The sequence below is a fragment of the Homo sapiens genome, chromosome 13 (assembly GCF_000001405.40).
Source record: "Homo sapiens chromosome 13, GRCh38.p14 Primary Assembly".
NCBI lineage: Eukaryota > Metazoa > Chordata > Mammalia > Primates > Hominidae > Homo > Homo sapiens.
In genome coordinates, this window is record NC_000013.11 from 43,352,369 (window position 1) to 43,368,039 (window position 15,671).

A 15,671-nucleotide genomic window follows, 5' to 3' on the forward strand; every position below is an offset into this window, starting at 1 on the left:
AAGAGAAATCCCGGTGAATTAGAATATAATCCTTCCTCACTGTCTAATCAATCTCTTCCTCCCACAGTCCAAACACAGGGTTCCTCCAGGGGTGGATGGTCTGTGTTAGACACACTGAAATTCATTATCTCATCTGCCTGGTTGCCACTGTTTCCAATAAAGTGTAATTATGGTGTTATTGAGCTCCTTCCCACTTTCTCAAAGCCATGCTATAAACTTTGGGTTTCTGAGCAGTTACTTCCCAGTCGGTCTTCATTAAGTTGAATTGTCTCGGAACAATGTCTGTTTAACCAGCAGGATGCTTACTAATTTTCTTTTTTAGAATTTGTATTAATGTAACAGGCACTGGGTGACTCCATGTCTCAGGCACTACACAAATACAACACAGTGTTACCTCTGGTTTCAGAAGGTCAAGTAGCCAGTGAATGGGATAACCTGGTCCCAGAAGATCCTCCCTCTCTCACTCCAGCACTGCCCATCCGGGCTGGCTATCTCCCCTGTGACAGCACTGTGCACTTCCCACATATAACAGGAGGATTATTATATTTATTATAATAGTGCACTATTATAAGTGGCAAACGCAAGGTGATTTGTTATTGCCTGTGTCACTCAAGACACCTAAACTCTTTGAGGCAGGGGCTTGTTCACCGTTGTCCTTTCCACCACTGGCTAGGACAGCGCCAGTCATATGGTAAAATGCTGATTAACGAATACTTCTTGAGTGATTGGAAGGATGGCTGAGCACACATCACATCATTTCCATGTACATCTGGTCATGCCCAGTAGAACCACTGGACAGAAATTCAACGTGCTCATAGATCCAAATAGCAGAAGAAGAGAGAAAATAATTATTTTTACTGAGCACCTACTATGTGCACAGTTTTAGCATTGGACAGGACATGGAGAGGGCCTTGTGGGTCATAAGAAAGACTTGGTTTGTACAGATTTTGCTAAATAAAGCTGATTTTCAAAGAGAAAATTGTAAGAATAAACAAGTATGATATAAAATAGAGGAAAAGTATCTGTAATAAATCTAAGTAAGATTTCTCAGGGGAGGAAAAAAATCAAATCCAATTAGGTATTTTCAGATTGCATTTCCATTTCCTTTCTGACACAGATTTCTTTACCTTAGGTATTGACTGTATTTTATGTCCCCACATCAATGAAATCATCTTCAGGGAAACAGTGTCCTCAGCTCCTCCTGTCTGGCTTTGCAACATTATAAGGAGCATGGAGTGGATTTCCTCTCTAAGGCAGCCAATTTCCTAAGCAATTAAATGCTGTTTATATTCCAAACTCTATGCTTGGGTTGAAATTGTCAAGCTTGATATTACCTGACTCTTGCCTAAGATGTATCCCCAGCTAGTTCATTCTACTGTAACAGCCATCTATTAAAATTTCCAATCTGTTCTTTCCTCAAGGGATCACACAGTACTTGGCAAAGGTACAGCTTCTGAATTCTGTAAATTATACTCATCTATATAAATATATACTTTTGAAATGGCAAGGCTTGCAAATTACTTTACCAAATTGACATCCCAATCTGTTATCCTCTAAAAGGAGCGGCAAATGCCACATACTTCATACGTGCGGAGACACTTCTGTACTGGGTTCTTAAAAACAACATAACTAGATGATACGCTTTTATGAAATTCCTCCAGGAGGTCACAGATCAAGGTGCAGTTTTTGTCACTTCTAGGTGTGGACAAACTGAATACAGTTAGTCTGTGTAGATCATAATCTGATACCACAATACATTGGATATTAAAGAAAAATTATTGTTCCAGTGAATACTCCTTGTTGAGAACATTGCTGCTGTATCTCATTTTGGCCACTCCTTATGGTTTCTAGGCTGGAGGGAAAAGTGAGATGATATCTGTATCTGCACTGCATATGCCCTTTATTAAAGGCACAGCCATGGCCTATGTATTTACATCAGTAAGACATGTTTTCTCAAAGCAGCAGACACACCACAAGAGCATCAGCAAGAAGCATTCCTTGGTTACGGTGCGGGTATTTCAGTGGCAGCTGCAGTTGATTAAGGATTCTCAAGCCCTGGATGGGGGATGAAGATTGGAAGCACAGCACCCCCGCTGCCACCTTTTTTTTTTTTTTTTTAAAGCATAGAATGTCAACTTCCTATCTTCCTAAAATAGGTGTTAGGCAGCTTTTCATACATTTTTTTTAGTGAAAACATCCAATCCACTTTATACACTGCCAGCAATACACCAGCTATGTTCTAAAACACTTGAAGGATCAATCACATCCCTCTTCTCATCAGAAATCTGTTAATGGCTTCTCCACTGTTTATGGAATAAAACCCAAATCCAGCAATAGCCTTCAGGGCTCTGCCATCTGGCCCAGACTGCCATTCCAGCTTTACCTCACTCTAGAAAGGCAGCTTCTATGCTGAATTCCTTTCTGCTTCTGTGGGTTTTTATTCTTAGGTCTCCAGCCTCTAACTAGAATGCCTTTATGCCTCTTTTTATCCTGGGGAAAAAAATCTTATTTATTCTGCAAATTTCAAATTATGCCTCCTCTATAAAGACTTTCTTGACACTTTCATCAACATTATTTGCACTGGCCCCTGAGTCCCCAAAGCATATTGCATTTACCTTGGTTGACAATCATGCCATTGACTTGGTATTACAGTTAATTGTTTATCTGTAGACACCTACATGTGGCCACCAACTGTGACTTACATTCTCTCATCAAATCCTGACAGTGCTCAGTGACCTCAGGAGGGTCTGACCATCATTTGCCTGTAAAATGCCCATATGTTGCTCAGCTCACACAACTTTGGTCAGTAATAGAACTGAATTCACATGTCATCCTAACTTCAAAATCTGGCATCACTGTAGTTCACGGGGGCAGGTACCAGAGCCTTCCTATGTCTTTATTTCCCACAGCATAAAACACCAGGGAGGGCCTCAGAAAACATTAGAAGAAATAAAACATACTCTCTTCTCTTGCTAGTCATCCTGTAAATGTTGCATGTGTCCCTTCAACTGCATCTCTGAAGACAGGGATCCCATTCTATGTTTCTTTTCTATCCTCGATGGACCCTAGTACCATGTCTGCTGTTTTGCCTGAAGAAGGCTTTAGGAGTCTGGTAAACATGCACACTCTATAGAGCTGGAGGAACACTAAGAACGCCCCACCAATGGCACAAATAGTTGCTGGCTCATTAAACACTGGGTCAGAAGATAATAGCCTGCTTTGGGGACCTTTCTGTCCCCTCATTCAGTGAGTTTTGTTGAGTGACTGTACATACACTTTTATGGAGAACATGGGTGAGCATTCTGGAAAGGGGCAGGGGTCTGTCCCAGGCAGAAGATGAAGCCCAGGTGTCTGCAGCTTCCAGGAGACCCCCCAGCTAACCCCACCCCAGCTCTGTAAAGAGTCTGTGCTTACACCAGACTCTTACAGCCTTCTTAAGGCATAGCAGACATTGTGCTGAAGGGACAATGGTGGACGCAGGAGAAACGCACAGGGTTCCGTGTCTGGGGATCCCTGTGGAGGAAGAAAAGCCAGCGTGGGTGGCCCATACCTTTCAGCTTTTCAGCCAGCAGAGCGGCTTCGTGCTCCGAGTAGTGCATTATGGCAGGCGGGGATGGGGGCCTGAGCCGGTCCTCCTCCAGCTTGCGCCGGTGCCGCTCCTCCCGGGCACGCATCCTCTGCTTGCATTCCCACTCATAGAAGTCATCCCTGGCCTGGGCAAAGTCCACATGAAGGCGGCCTGAATCCTTTTTGTCGGTGCTAGACCCTAATCGCATCCTATAACCTGAAACCAATGGAAACTCTGGTCACACCATAATGTAACAATGGCCACAGTTTTGGTCCAGACCTTCAAGGCACGCTTAGGCAAATGCTCACTTATTTCTTGGCTGTCACTACGGATACATTTCCCATAGGAAGCGGGAAACAATTATCCTTTTCCCCAGCAATCTTGAAGCTCTGTAAAGTTAGGCCTATTACAGGTTTGGGGATAAACACACCTTGGAGAGCTGTCTCAGAGGGCTGCTTACCCATCTTCCAAACCAGTATCCCCAAGAGAAGATGATCTCAGGAACTAGGGTCTTATCATGATCATTCCTTCTTCTCCCTGGCTTCTAGGAAGCTCAGAAACAAATTTGGCATGGAGCATTTTTTTTCTCTACCTTTTTATGGCCTTGGTTTTATTATATTTTCAGCTTACTATAATTCTACTGTATAGGTGAAATATGAGTAAATAAAGAGCATCTATGATATTTAAAAAGATCTACAAAGTGAATTCCAGACACCTCACTCACAGGTTATTGCTACATTCCCCCAGAAAATGCTGCTGCTCAATTCTCTCTCAGCAGCTGCAAAAGCCACAATTACCAAGGCAATTTTGCAATGCTGTTTTATTTCCACTTATCCTCTGGGGTGCGCAGGAGAATATTTTACCTTCGATCAAGAGGCCTCGCCGCTGCCTGCCTCACAGCCCTGCAGCACCTCATCTGGTATGCAGCACCACACAAATTGTTCATGTAATATTTTAAGGCCACAGCAGCCCCGTGCAAGAGCCCAGAGCTAGACAAAGAAAAAAATGGGCCTGGAAATCTTTGGGGGATTCACTGTGAGCTACCCAACTTAGATAAAGATTATGAGCAGAAATTTGATCTGAGAGATCAACACTAACAGAACTGAAACCAGTCAGCCGGCCTAACTTCAAATGAAGAAGAGTTGACTTTGAGGTTGCTCTTCAGTTTGGGGTACTCAGATTTTCAGAACATAAATCCAGGTCCCAGCAGAGACACAGCTGCTGGGGGCTGCCAGAGGAGAGAGCAACATAAGCACTTTTCCAGTATGGGGGCTTTGCAAATGAGATACAACTGTAAAATGCTAGGCTGCACTGTGCTGATGTTCAAGATCTCATGGTAGATTTCAATGGATTATTTTAGCACTTGGGGATAAACCTCAGCTGAAAATCTCTGTAGAGGCTGGCTCCTCCCCAGGATGCCACTTCACACCTTTGAAAAGTTACAAATAAGATATTGACTTCACATCTGGTTTCTGTGATGCCTTGGAACCCTTCTCACTGCTAGATTTTCAAGTGTTATCTGAAAATGGGAAGACATAACAATACCAATCAAAAACAAAAACATCTAATCACAGATGTGCAGAATTAATGCAAAAGCAAAATGTATCTTGGTTGTGGGCCATGGGAACTTAACAAGTCAGCAGGCCACAGTGATACACGCATAACAGCTGAGCAGGCAGGACTGTTTAAACTGGCCAGCTATCCCAACTGGCCAAGCACCTTTCCCCTGCTCATGTCCAGAGAAGCAGTTTTCAAACATTTCTGGCTCCAGAAACACCCTCACTTTCACAGAAACATCATCATTAAGGACTTAAAAGAGACCCTGATGAGGCTGAGTCTAAAATTAGCTAGGCCTTCAAACGTGAATGTGGTCCTAAAATTAGACAGGCCTTCCAGCTGGGCTTGGGCTTGGGCTTGCTGGAGCCCACAAACAGGAGGGGCCGCCTGACTTCCTTCCTGCCTTTCCAGTTAATTGGCCTTGCAGATCTTCCTGGGACTGACGCTGCAGCCTCTCAAGGGCAGGGAGGCAGAGTTAGGAGGCTCCTCTGCACCCAGGTAGGGAAGCTGGAGGTGAGGCCTAGCTGTCTTCTCCTCCTACAGTAATGGGGCAGACCAAGGAGCAATCAGAGACTTGCTGAGAGAAGCGGGACCAGCACCCAGGCTGGAAAATCATAGGATCAAGGTATAATCAAGGAGCACCTTTCATATGCCTAAATTTGGGACTGTTCATCTTTGTCAGTGTCTTATGAGGCTTCTGATTGGGTGTGAACATTGTGTTGTATTAGTGTTGAAAAGGGCCTCTGATTTACTCTAACCTTCTCATTTAATCAAGTAGGGTAAAGAATACAGTTGACCTGTGAGCATGGGTTTAATCTGTGCAGGTCCACTTATAGGTGGATTTTTTTCCAACCAAATGTGTATCCAAAACACAGCATTCGAGGGATGTGAAACCCACATATTTGGAGGGCTGACTTTTCATATACATGAGGGTTCTGCAGGATATACATGGGGCGGGGGCGGGGGGTCCTGGAACCAATCCTCCAAGTGTACTGAGGGATGACTGCAGTTTTCTTGGTACAGCTGTGATTAGAAGCCAGGTCCCCAGGATAGGGTTCTTGAGATAGAAAAATCCGTCCTTCTTTATCATCATCAGGATATTTGTGTTAAAAACAACCATTTCCTGAATGGTTTCTATGTTGCAGGTGCCCTGCTAAGCACTTAATATCCATTATTTGATTTATTCCTCCTCACAGTCCTACGAGGTCATGCTGTTACTATCTTTATTTTATAGATGAGAAAATGGAGGCAGGCTCTAGGCCGTGAAACCCAGTGCCACAAACTCACCAGAACCCCCGTTGTCTAACAGCGGATTGTGTGTTATGAAATGTCTTCATTCTAGGCTTTGTCTTCCTTCTCCATTTTGTATTGCTTTTAGTTTTTATTTTCTACTTTGTAAGGTTTTACTGAAATAAGGGGTTTTAAAGTTCTCCATATCACTGTCTACCTTAGGAAAGTCTCTGCAGTATTGGAATAACCTCAAGTCTTCTGGAGTTTGCACAGAATTTCGTGGCAATAGAGGTGGACTGCAGAAATTAAGTAAAACCTGGCAGGAATGCTCAGATAGGTCCCCCTGCCCCTCCCCACCCCCACCCGCTACTGTTTTCCCACATTCCCCCATCAGCTTTGCCTCAGGAATAGGGAGGTGAAATGCAGAGGGACAGACTGAAAAATGGAGGTGGGGAGTGTGAGGGAAGGGCAGTGAGTTCAGTCTGAGAATGTGTCCTTCCAAAGCCAGCCCCTAATTCTTGGGTTTGGCAAAGGCCTTGCGGACAGACTCCATTCACTTGGCCCAATACCCACAGATGGGAAGGCAGCACTAGGCCTAATCTCAGTATCTGTAAAAATCGCCTATAAAAATTGACACCAGAGGACAAGGCTTAATGAACCACCAACGAGGCAATGATACTGGGCCTTCTCCTAGGGCCCCTAAGCTACTTTCCTGCAAGGAACTGACCTTGCTTTGGTACCTTGGTGTCCAGAAAGTGAATCCACTTCCAAAAACCTGAAATTATTCTGAGAGAGTACTTTACTCCTCCTAAGGATTACATCCAGTAAGAATAATGGTCCTTAGTACTCATAATATTGCTTCTCATCTAATAAGCACTTGAGAACATTAATTAGAAACTCGATGGAATTCCTAAAGACTGGATGGTGGGAAATTGCTCCTGCAGTGAAGTACCTTCACAGGCTTAGCGCAGAGCTTCTGGCAGCCAAGGAAGAAGGCAGAATTCCTCCTTTTCCAGCCCCAAACTATGAAGACTTTATTTTGCATGAAGGCCAAAGGGAATAAGCTCATATTAACATCACAAAACATAACAAAATGCCTAGAAAACTCCTTATGTAATGCAAAGTACCAGAAAGGTAAATGGCTTTATCAACCATGAATTCCTCTGCAAAGCGAATGTGACAAAAATTCTTCTTGCTTTTCCGAATTGCTGTAATATCACCGCACTGTTCAAAGACTTCTTGAATAATTTCCTCAGTAGCATTTTCTGGTAATCCTCCGACAAACACGGTCTTACACCCAGGAGGTCGTTCTCTTGTGGAAGGAGGTGGAAGATCTAATAATCACAACAAAACAGAAAGTTTTATCTTTCATTTATTTGCTTTCTCTGGTTCTCCTGGCAAAACTAAAGCTTGCAGAGTAACTTTCTCCAGACTGAGTGACGGTAAATTTCTATGCCAACTTAACATTGATCCCAGGCTGTCTTGTTTCTAAGTTCCTCTCCCCTCCTGCTCCCAACCTTTACTTTCTGTGTTCATTGCTACACAGAGTGGCTATATGCTTGTCCATGAACAAAGATAAAGCAAATGTTTGCATAATTTCATTTCTCCTTTATACTACAGAAGCCCAGAAAAGGGAGGGAAAAAACTTCCCAAAGTACAAAACATGACGAAATGACAACATGATGAAAAACCTCAGCGTGTTATCTGCTTTGTCTTGTTTCCAGATAAAGGAGCGGCAAAACAGAATACGGGAAGCATAACCTACAAAAGCACGCACAATACTTACTTGGCTGTGAAACACCGGGCCTGAAAAAAACCACTTTGTTATTATTCACATTTAAATGAGCAAACTATTAAATTTTGGGAAGGCTGTATAAAAAGATACAATGTACACTCTCACAATATTTTACCTAGTTTATATGTAGATTACTAAAGCAATCTCCTGAAAAGTCCACTTAAAAAAGGCAACACTGATTAATATGAATGACAAAAAAAAAAAAAAGTCCTAGCTCTTTTAGCCCATAAACTTAGTATCTGAGGCAAAATTAAAAAAATAAAATTCTGGCCCATTTACTTCATCAAATGTATGTTTCCTTCAAGCAAATACAATTTGGTCCAGAAACTCTGAGATGCAGGCTTCCCTCTCCCCAGCCCCCAAATTGCTAACTGTCAAATTAATTCCATTTTCCATCTAGCAAAACATATTTCAGAGTTTTTCACCCACATTTGTGAAGATGGATGGAAATGCTCACATATTTCACACTGTGTTCTCCGGCAAACACTAGGCTTCACTGCATGCAAAAAGTCTTAACGCTGGATACACATCCCTAAATCCCACATACTGGCTTTATAGTGTGGATTCAGCTTCTGGACAGACACGTGGCCACATCCCTGTATATTTATTGTAACCTAGAGACAAAAGGCCTTCTGTAGAACGGATCCCCACTCTGTGCATTTACGTGTGAGTCACATCTGAAAATGACTGCAATGCCATTTTAAAATTTAAAAAGAAAAACATTTAAAATGAGCAAATATTTCTCATAGGCGTTACTTACTTGGATTTTGAGGAAAAAGAGTACAGCTTTTGCAGTGGATTATTTCTTTGACAACAGCCACTTCTGTTGGTGGTGGGGGAGGTACCAGTCCAAGGCCTGGTATCATTGGGTTAATGGGGGTGATTCCAGTCATCATGTTGAGGCTTGGATCAAAGCCTGGGACACAGATTGAGTCTGTAAAGTATACAAGATAACATTTTGACTGGAGATTAAATCCATTTTTGTTGTTGTTTTTGCCATTTTCCTGTGGATTATTTGACTTTATACTTTCTATTTTTCAGGAATTTCTCCTGGCATAAGATATAATATTATAGAAAGCTATGCCAGAAGGGTAAAGAGAAAAAAAGTAAAAGATGAACATTAAACTACATGAAAAGGAAATTATATTACTTAAAATATTAACATGGCAGAAAGAACACAGCATATTAAAATGTAAAAGCATGCACCATGAAGCTTCACTATTACTGTGAATGCAATTTTCTATTTCTTAACGTTGGTGTATTGTTTATACCACCTTATGACCCAGAATATGGGAAGAATATCATTTAACATTGAAGTGCTCTGTGAATCTAATTGTCAACGTGGTTTCATCAAAAGAGCCTTCTTACCCAAGTGACCTAGATTTAGGAAAGTTCAATTTATATGTGCATACTTTATAATGATGTATTCAGGTCCCACCTAACCTATTTCCCCTGGAATAAAAAAAAAAAAAAAAGCAAAACAAAGAGTGATTACAATTACTATGGCTGGGTTAGATACATGCAGGCATAAAATTAGCTATATACATTTCTGGCTTCTATTGGATAATTGCACTTTCTTCCTATAATTTAGTCAACAAAGAATTGACCCACCCTTTTGAAATCTTTATGCCCTGTATTACACACACACACACACACACACACACACACACACTTGAAAATAGAAAGTGTGCAAAACAAATGGGTTTTCCAGCTTTTTTTTTTTTTAGTGTGATAATGAAGCAAGTGATTTCAAAGGTGGCATACAGACACTAATAAGTAAGACCTTTCTAACAGCAGGGGCTATGAAAATACTATACTGAGTAGCCACAAGGGGATCCCGTTCATGAGGGTTTCCCTGTTGGCAGAAAAGTCTCATGGGTGGCGTGAAAATGTTCCCAGATAGACAGGCCAGGATAGATCATGGTGCCCTCCTCTACTCTGCAAGGATGAAACTTCCTTCTTGTCTCATACCATCCTATCTTCTTCTCCCTCCTCATCTTACATCACTTCCAGTCTTCCTTCCTGCCCGCCACCCCTGCCCCCGACAACCCCTTTGTACAGTTCTCCTGTACAGCCTGTGCCTTAGGCCTCCGCATGGCCTCACTCTTCGCTTACCTGTGCTGAAAGGCTGGAGGAGCCCAGAAGCAGATGTAAGAATAACCACACGCTTTGTTTACTAAGAAGCTCCAGAGAATACAGAAGGTCTAGCAAAAGCGTTTCCTTTCTGGGAAAAGGTTTACAGATTCCGCCAGCTACTTTGGACATTTCCACTCCTCCTCTGGGCTGAACAGAATAAACAATGTGATTCTGATCTATAACCCCAAGAGGACTGCTGTCCCATTTATTAAAAACTCCATTTAATTTCATAGTGTATCAGTGTGACTTCAGTAAAAGGAGGATTTTTTTTTAAAAGAAAAGAACCCTAAATATAAATGACAAATAAGCATTTTCTTTCAAAGTAGTCACCCTGACATTCTAGGTACTTCCTCTACAATTATGGCTCTCAGTTTCTTCATCTGTAATATGGTACTGTTTGACTGGATTATCTCTTGGAGTGCTAGAATTCCAAGACTCCAGGATTCCATGCTGATGTTGCTCAGTACAAACTGACACACAAAAGACTTAAAGTTTTATAAGTGACAGAGATGACTCTGTTTATTCTGTCAATCATCAGAAAGTTTCACAAGTATGATTTCCATTTTACAGAAAAGAAAGTAAGGCTTAAAGTACTTAAGTAAAACTTCTAACATTCCAAATCAAACAGATGGCAGAGTCAGAATGAGGGCCCAGGTCTTTGCCTCAGTATTTAAACATGTATTAAATGTGACTATTTCAAAGTTTCCATCTAGAATGACCCAACATGATTACTCATCTAATACATGCCACTACTTCTTAAAATGTACTTTACCCTTAAAAAAATCAAGATGGGTCCTGCCGATCAATTCTAAAGAAGTTCCAGAACAGAATGGTTTTCAACATCATCATCATTAAAATAACATATTGGCCTCCAAGGTGAATATATTAGAAAAAGAAATATTGGCAATGGGAATATTGGCATGCTTGTGCTTTTATTTAATCTCATTCCGTACATCGGCTTCATCTGTTTTTTTCCTGGCCTGGCCCTCGCTATTATTTGCCAACACAGGATGATTTAAGGCTGAAACCACTCAGGACTGCAAACCCTGAAATGAGAGCCCTGTGAATTATAATCAGCAGATGTTTCCCACAAATGAGAAGAGAAGCCCAGTGCTTGCATTCTCTTTAGTTGTTAACAGACTTCTGTTTTCTTTCTGAAGGCTAAGTAAATAAATATATGTCCAGAAATGGGGACAGAAGATACCACTCTTGTACAACGTATTTTAATATACAGCAAGAGTTGCTTTGCTTTTTTCTGAGACATCAGTATGAGGAGACTATGAGGTTTAATGAAATCTGCATGGCAAGTGCAGTAGCTTGAAAAGAGCTTAGAAAGGAATTAACACGTAAATTATGTTGGACCTGAAAGGATTGGAGATTCAGTATTTGAGAGGAGAAAGTAAGGAAGGATTAGACTTTAAGAAAAAAAAAGAACCCATTACTTTTTTAACAATATATGTAAAGATGGAAATTGTTTTCTCTAACAGCACAGGAGCATATGATGTACTCGCTCATTAAAGCAAACGCACAAACTGAAAATCGAGGAAGACACAAACACAGGAAGACAAAGGGGAGAAGGCAGCGCAACCCGAAGAATCAGTTCCATGCCCTGTTAGGAAAAGCTGCCCCTGTGAGCTTCAGAGATAATGAGTTGTAATTCTACTCAGCGCAAAGAGGAGGACTGCTTAAATCACAGCAAGAAAGAATCCAATTACGTATACAGTAGAACTTTATCACAACTGTACTGAAATGACAGGAAGGAAGGGTTATTCATCACAGACCGTGGCCCTGTCTGGCTCCTCTCTGTGTTGCCGGCTCCAAGCAGAGACTGGCCACAGCCAAGGCTCGGCAAAGGTTTCTTTTTGGTTGTCTGTTCCCAGTTGGACGAGATGAAAACAAACAAAAAAAAATCCTGTTTACTGATTCACAGGCCAGTGTTTTATCAATTGGATGAGCATTTTTCAGAAGGCAGGTTGGGGCTTTGTGTTCAGGATTTTAGAGGCATGGCAGTTGAATTAATTAAAGCACTCATTCATTTGAATTAAAGATCCATTCAGCATTTCCTGGGCACGTATGACTGCCAGGATCTGGAGTTACAGAGGTAACAGTAGTAAGTTCCCCACTTGAGTTTGAGGAGAGGATAAAGGATGGGAACCAAACTCAGCAAAAGAGTCGGGACACATGAGCTGAGGCTCAGAGGACACAGAGAGAGTCCAGGAAGGGAATTGCTGGGAGAGAGCCTGGTAGGCCTGGGGAATTCCAAACAATTTTTCATGGCTCTTTCATGGTGTGCATCTGGCAGTGTGGCCACAATGTCTGGAGAGACTGCAGGAATTAGATCAGATCAGAGAGACCCTGCTGTTCAAGCTAGTGAATTTCAACTTTGCTCTCCCTGGAACTCAGAGTCAGAGATGCACCCTGCCAGGCCAGGGCTCCGGTGCCTGGGCCGCCCTTCCTCACTTCTTCTCTCTTTGTCTGCTGCCCGCTAGCCATGCCTTGCTCCTTTTCTGCCCTTTCTAGTCAATGCCTCAGTTAAGAGTCTCATATTTGAGATGAGAACTAGATTTCATTTGAAAGAAAGGCAGTTGAGGCCTCTTGCCAGGCAAGGCTGGGCATACTAACTAGGTTAGGTGTGGGCAGGGAGGAGGGACAGAGAGAAGTTGTCAGTACTAGGAACAAGTCTGGTCTGGAAGGAAGAACATAGCGTTTTAAGAAAATAATAAGAGAAAGAGGCAGTAATCAGGCTAAATGGCTGCATTACAGGTGTAGTCCTGGGCTGAGGGTGTCCTGACAAAGTGGCTGAACACAGAGATTATTAGCGCAGATAAAACACAGGTCCAGGTGGGGCAGCTGCCCAGAGGACTCTGTCTACAGGTCACAGGGCCTGCACCCCCTGGTCCAGGGTTCAGACCCAGCCCAGGGGAAATAAAGTTTGCAGGAACATCATGGAGTCATAAGTTGAGAAATACTAGGCCAATTGGCAGGTTACCTAAGCCAGGATTCAGGCAGGAGAAGCAAGACAGGATTCAGACAACAAAATAGAAGCCTGGGGTTTGGGGAAGGAGATAGACCCCTCAGTTATCAGATACGGAGCACAGGTCACAGCCTGACCAGCATAAAGCCTGCTTGGATGCTGAGTCTTAGAATGCAGGGCTCCAGAGCCCCCTTCCTCCCGCCTGACGCCAGATGGACCCTCAAGTCCAGGGACAGAGTAAGTGTGTGGGGCCAGGTCCCAGGACTTGTGCAGGGCACAGAGACAGGCTGGAAGGGCTCTAACAAACATGCAATTGTGCTGCTTCTTTTTCCAGAATTACTGGGTTAAAATTACTGACCTATCATCACTCTGCAGAGAAGCCACGTGATACCTGAAGACATTCTGTTTACCAGAAGTTTCCAGTGGAGAAACTTTTTCAGAAGTCTCCTATTGCAATTGACAAGTCTTGTTGTTCTATAATGTCATTGAATTTGTAAACTATTAAAGTAATGCTCTTTTTCATTCCATGTTTTCTTTTTTCAAGCATTCTTAAAAAACTGTTTTGTGAACAGCAGAGGAAAAGTGAACATTTTAAAAAAGGTGATCTTAAAGTCAAGGGATCTGGCACAGCTGGATGACCTAAGGCTGACCAGCTTTTTTTTTTTGACATGAGTGTTGCACTGTCATCCAGGCTGGAGTACAATGGCACAATCTCAGCTCACTGCAAGCTCCGCCTCCTGGGTTCATGCCATTCTCCTGCCTCAGCCTCCTGAGTAGCTGGGACTACAGGCGCCCGCCACCATGCCTGGCTAATTTTTTTTGTATTTTTAGTAGAGACGGGGTTTCACCGTGTTAGCCAGGATGGTCTCGATCTCCTGACCTCGTGATCTGCCTGCCTTGGCCTCCCAAAGTGCTGGGATTACAGGCATAAGCCACTGCACCTGGCCAGCTGACTGGCTTTTTAACCTCTCTGGGCTTCAGTGTCTTCACCAGGGGAAGGAGAACATGAATACTAGATAGACATACTGGTCTTCATGGTCATCCAAGAAGAACACCTGGGTGAAGGCAGTATATCAAAGTGTGGAGACCTCAAGTCTGCAGTCATGCACTGGCTGTATGACTTTGGGAAATTTAACTAATCATTCTAAGCCTCATTTATAATATCTGTAAAATGAAGAGAATAATATTTACCTTTTAATGTTCTTGTGAGGATTAAATGGGATTAATAAAACAAAACCAAAGTGTTCAGCATAATGTCCAGCACATGGTAAATACTCAATAAATGGTAGCAATTACATACAGCATTAATAAACATTAATATTATATAGAATATTTACATAACCTTATATAAATATGTTAGTAACATAGCAGACACACAATCATAATGATGATTACAAAGTCTTTCATTTGACAAACATATGAGTGCCTACTAGGTGTTGAGTGTTTTGCTAGGTACTCTGCATTCAAAGACATTGCAATGTTCTTCCTTCACAGATGTGGAAATCTAGTGACTGAAACAACTTAGCAGAAAATACCAATACAGTAATGACACTTATTTTGAGACATTTAAATAAAAGGTGCTATGAAAACACTGAAAAGGGGACATCTAAACCCGTCTGGCATAGGGTTTGTAAGAGTTGACTTGTGTCCCCCCAAAAGATATGTTAATTATTATTATACTTTTAACATAAGTCCTAATCCCCCATACCTATGAATGTGACTTTATTTAGAAATACTGTGTTTGCAGATGTAATCAAGATAAGATTAGGTCATACTGGATTAGGGTAGGCATGATCTAATATGACTGCTGTCCTTATAAGATGAGGAGAAAAGACACAGACACACAGGGAGAATGCAATATGATGACTGGAGAGATGCACCTGCAAGTCAAGGATCACCCAGGATAGCCGGCAAACACCAGAAGCTAAGAGAAAGACATGAAACTGATTCTTCCCTGGATCCTTCAGTGAGAACAAGGCCCTGCCAACAGCTTAATTTCAGACTTTTGGCCCCCAGAACTGCAAGACAATATGTTTCTGTTATTTTAATTCACCCAGTGTGTGGTACTTTGATACAGCAGCCCTACCTAGAAAACAAATGGGGTTGAGGGTGGGGGGTGGGGTGGGTGCCAGGGGAGTGTCAGGGAAGGAATCCTGGAGGGGGTGACAGCTGACCAGGTTCTTGAAAAGGATGACATCTGTATATGCAATGGGCATGTAAAAAGGTATCCCCAAAATACACTTATTGGGATCCTAAATACAAAGATATTTCTAAATGTTCTCTTAGGAGAAATGTTCAAAACCAGTCTCCTGGAAGCAGAATAGCTCTTAGGTTTTCCCTTTGTGAAATAAACAAACTCTGAAGATGGTTACATATTTGTTAAGAACAAATTAACCACACAGATTATGTTA

At 42.2% G+C, this 15,671-nt stretch overlaps 1 protein-coding gene across 31 annotated transcripts in view, besides 1 other annotated feature; it reads right to left on the bottom strand.

Moving 5' to 3' along the window:
• The window catches only part of ENOX1 (ecto-NOX disulfide-thiol exchanger 1), a 573,843-nt gene that overhangs the window by 139,239 nt on the left and 418,933 nt on the right, over positions 1 to 15,671 (bottom strand). For all 31 annotated transcript variants that reach the window (XR_007063686.1, NM_001347965.2, NM_001347963.2 and 28 more), the window contains 3 exons: positions 8,911 to 9,084; positions 7,483 to 7,689; positions 3,551 to 3,784 (listed from right to left, as the gene is read on the bottom strand). Coding sequence is in view for 30 of the 31 variants with exons in the window: in NM_001347965.2 (NP_001334894.1) it covers positions 3,551 to 3,784; positions 7,483 to 7,689; positions 8,911 to 9,084 (615 nt within the window). In the remaining variant the exon portion in view is untranslated. The remainder of the gene's footprint in view (positions 1 to 3,550; positions 3,785 to 7,482; positions 7,690 to 8,910; positions 9,085 to 15,671) is intronic.
• Positions 7,143 to 7,728: an enhancer, noted in NCBI's record as "OCT4-NANOG hESC enhancer chr13:43933647-43934232 (GRCh37/hg19 assembly coordinates)". NCBI's record gives its function as "activates a minimal SCP1, AML or CMV promoter by ChIP-STARR-seq in primed H9 embryonic stem cells {active_cell/tissue: H9 hESC(primed)}" and the evidence as "EXISTENCE:reporter gene assay evidence [ECO:0000049][PMID:30033119]".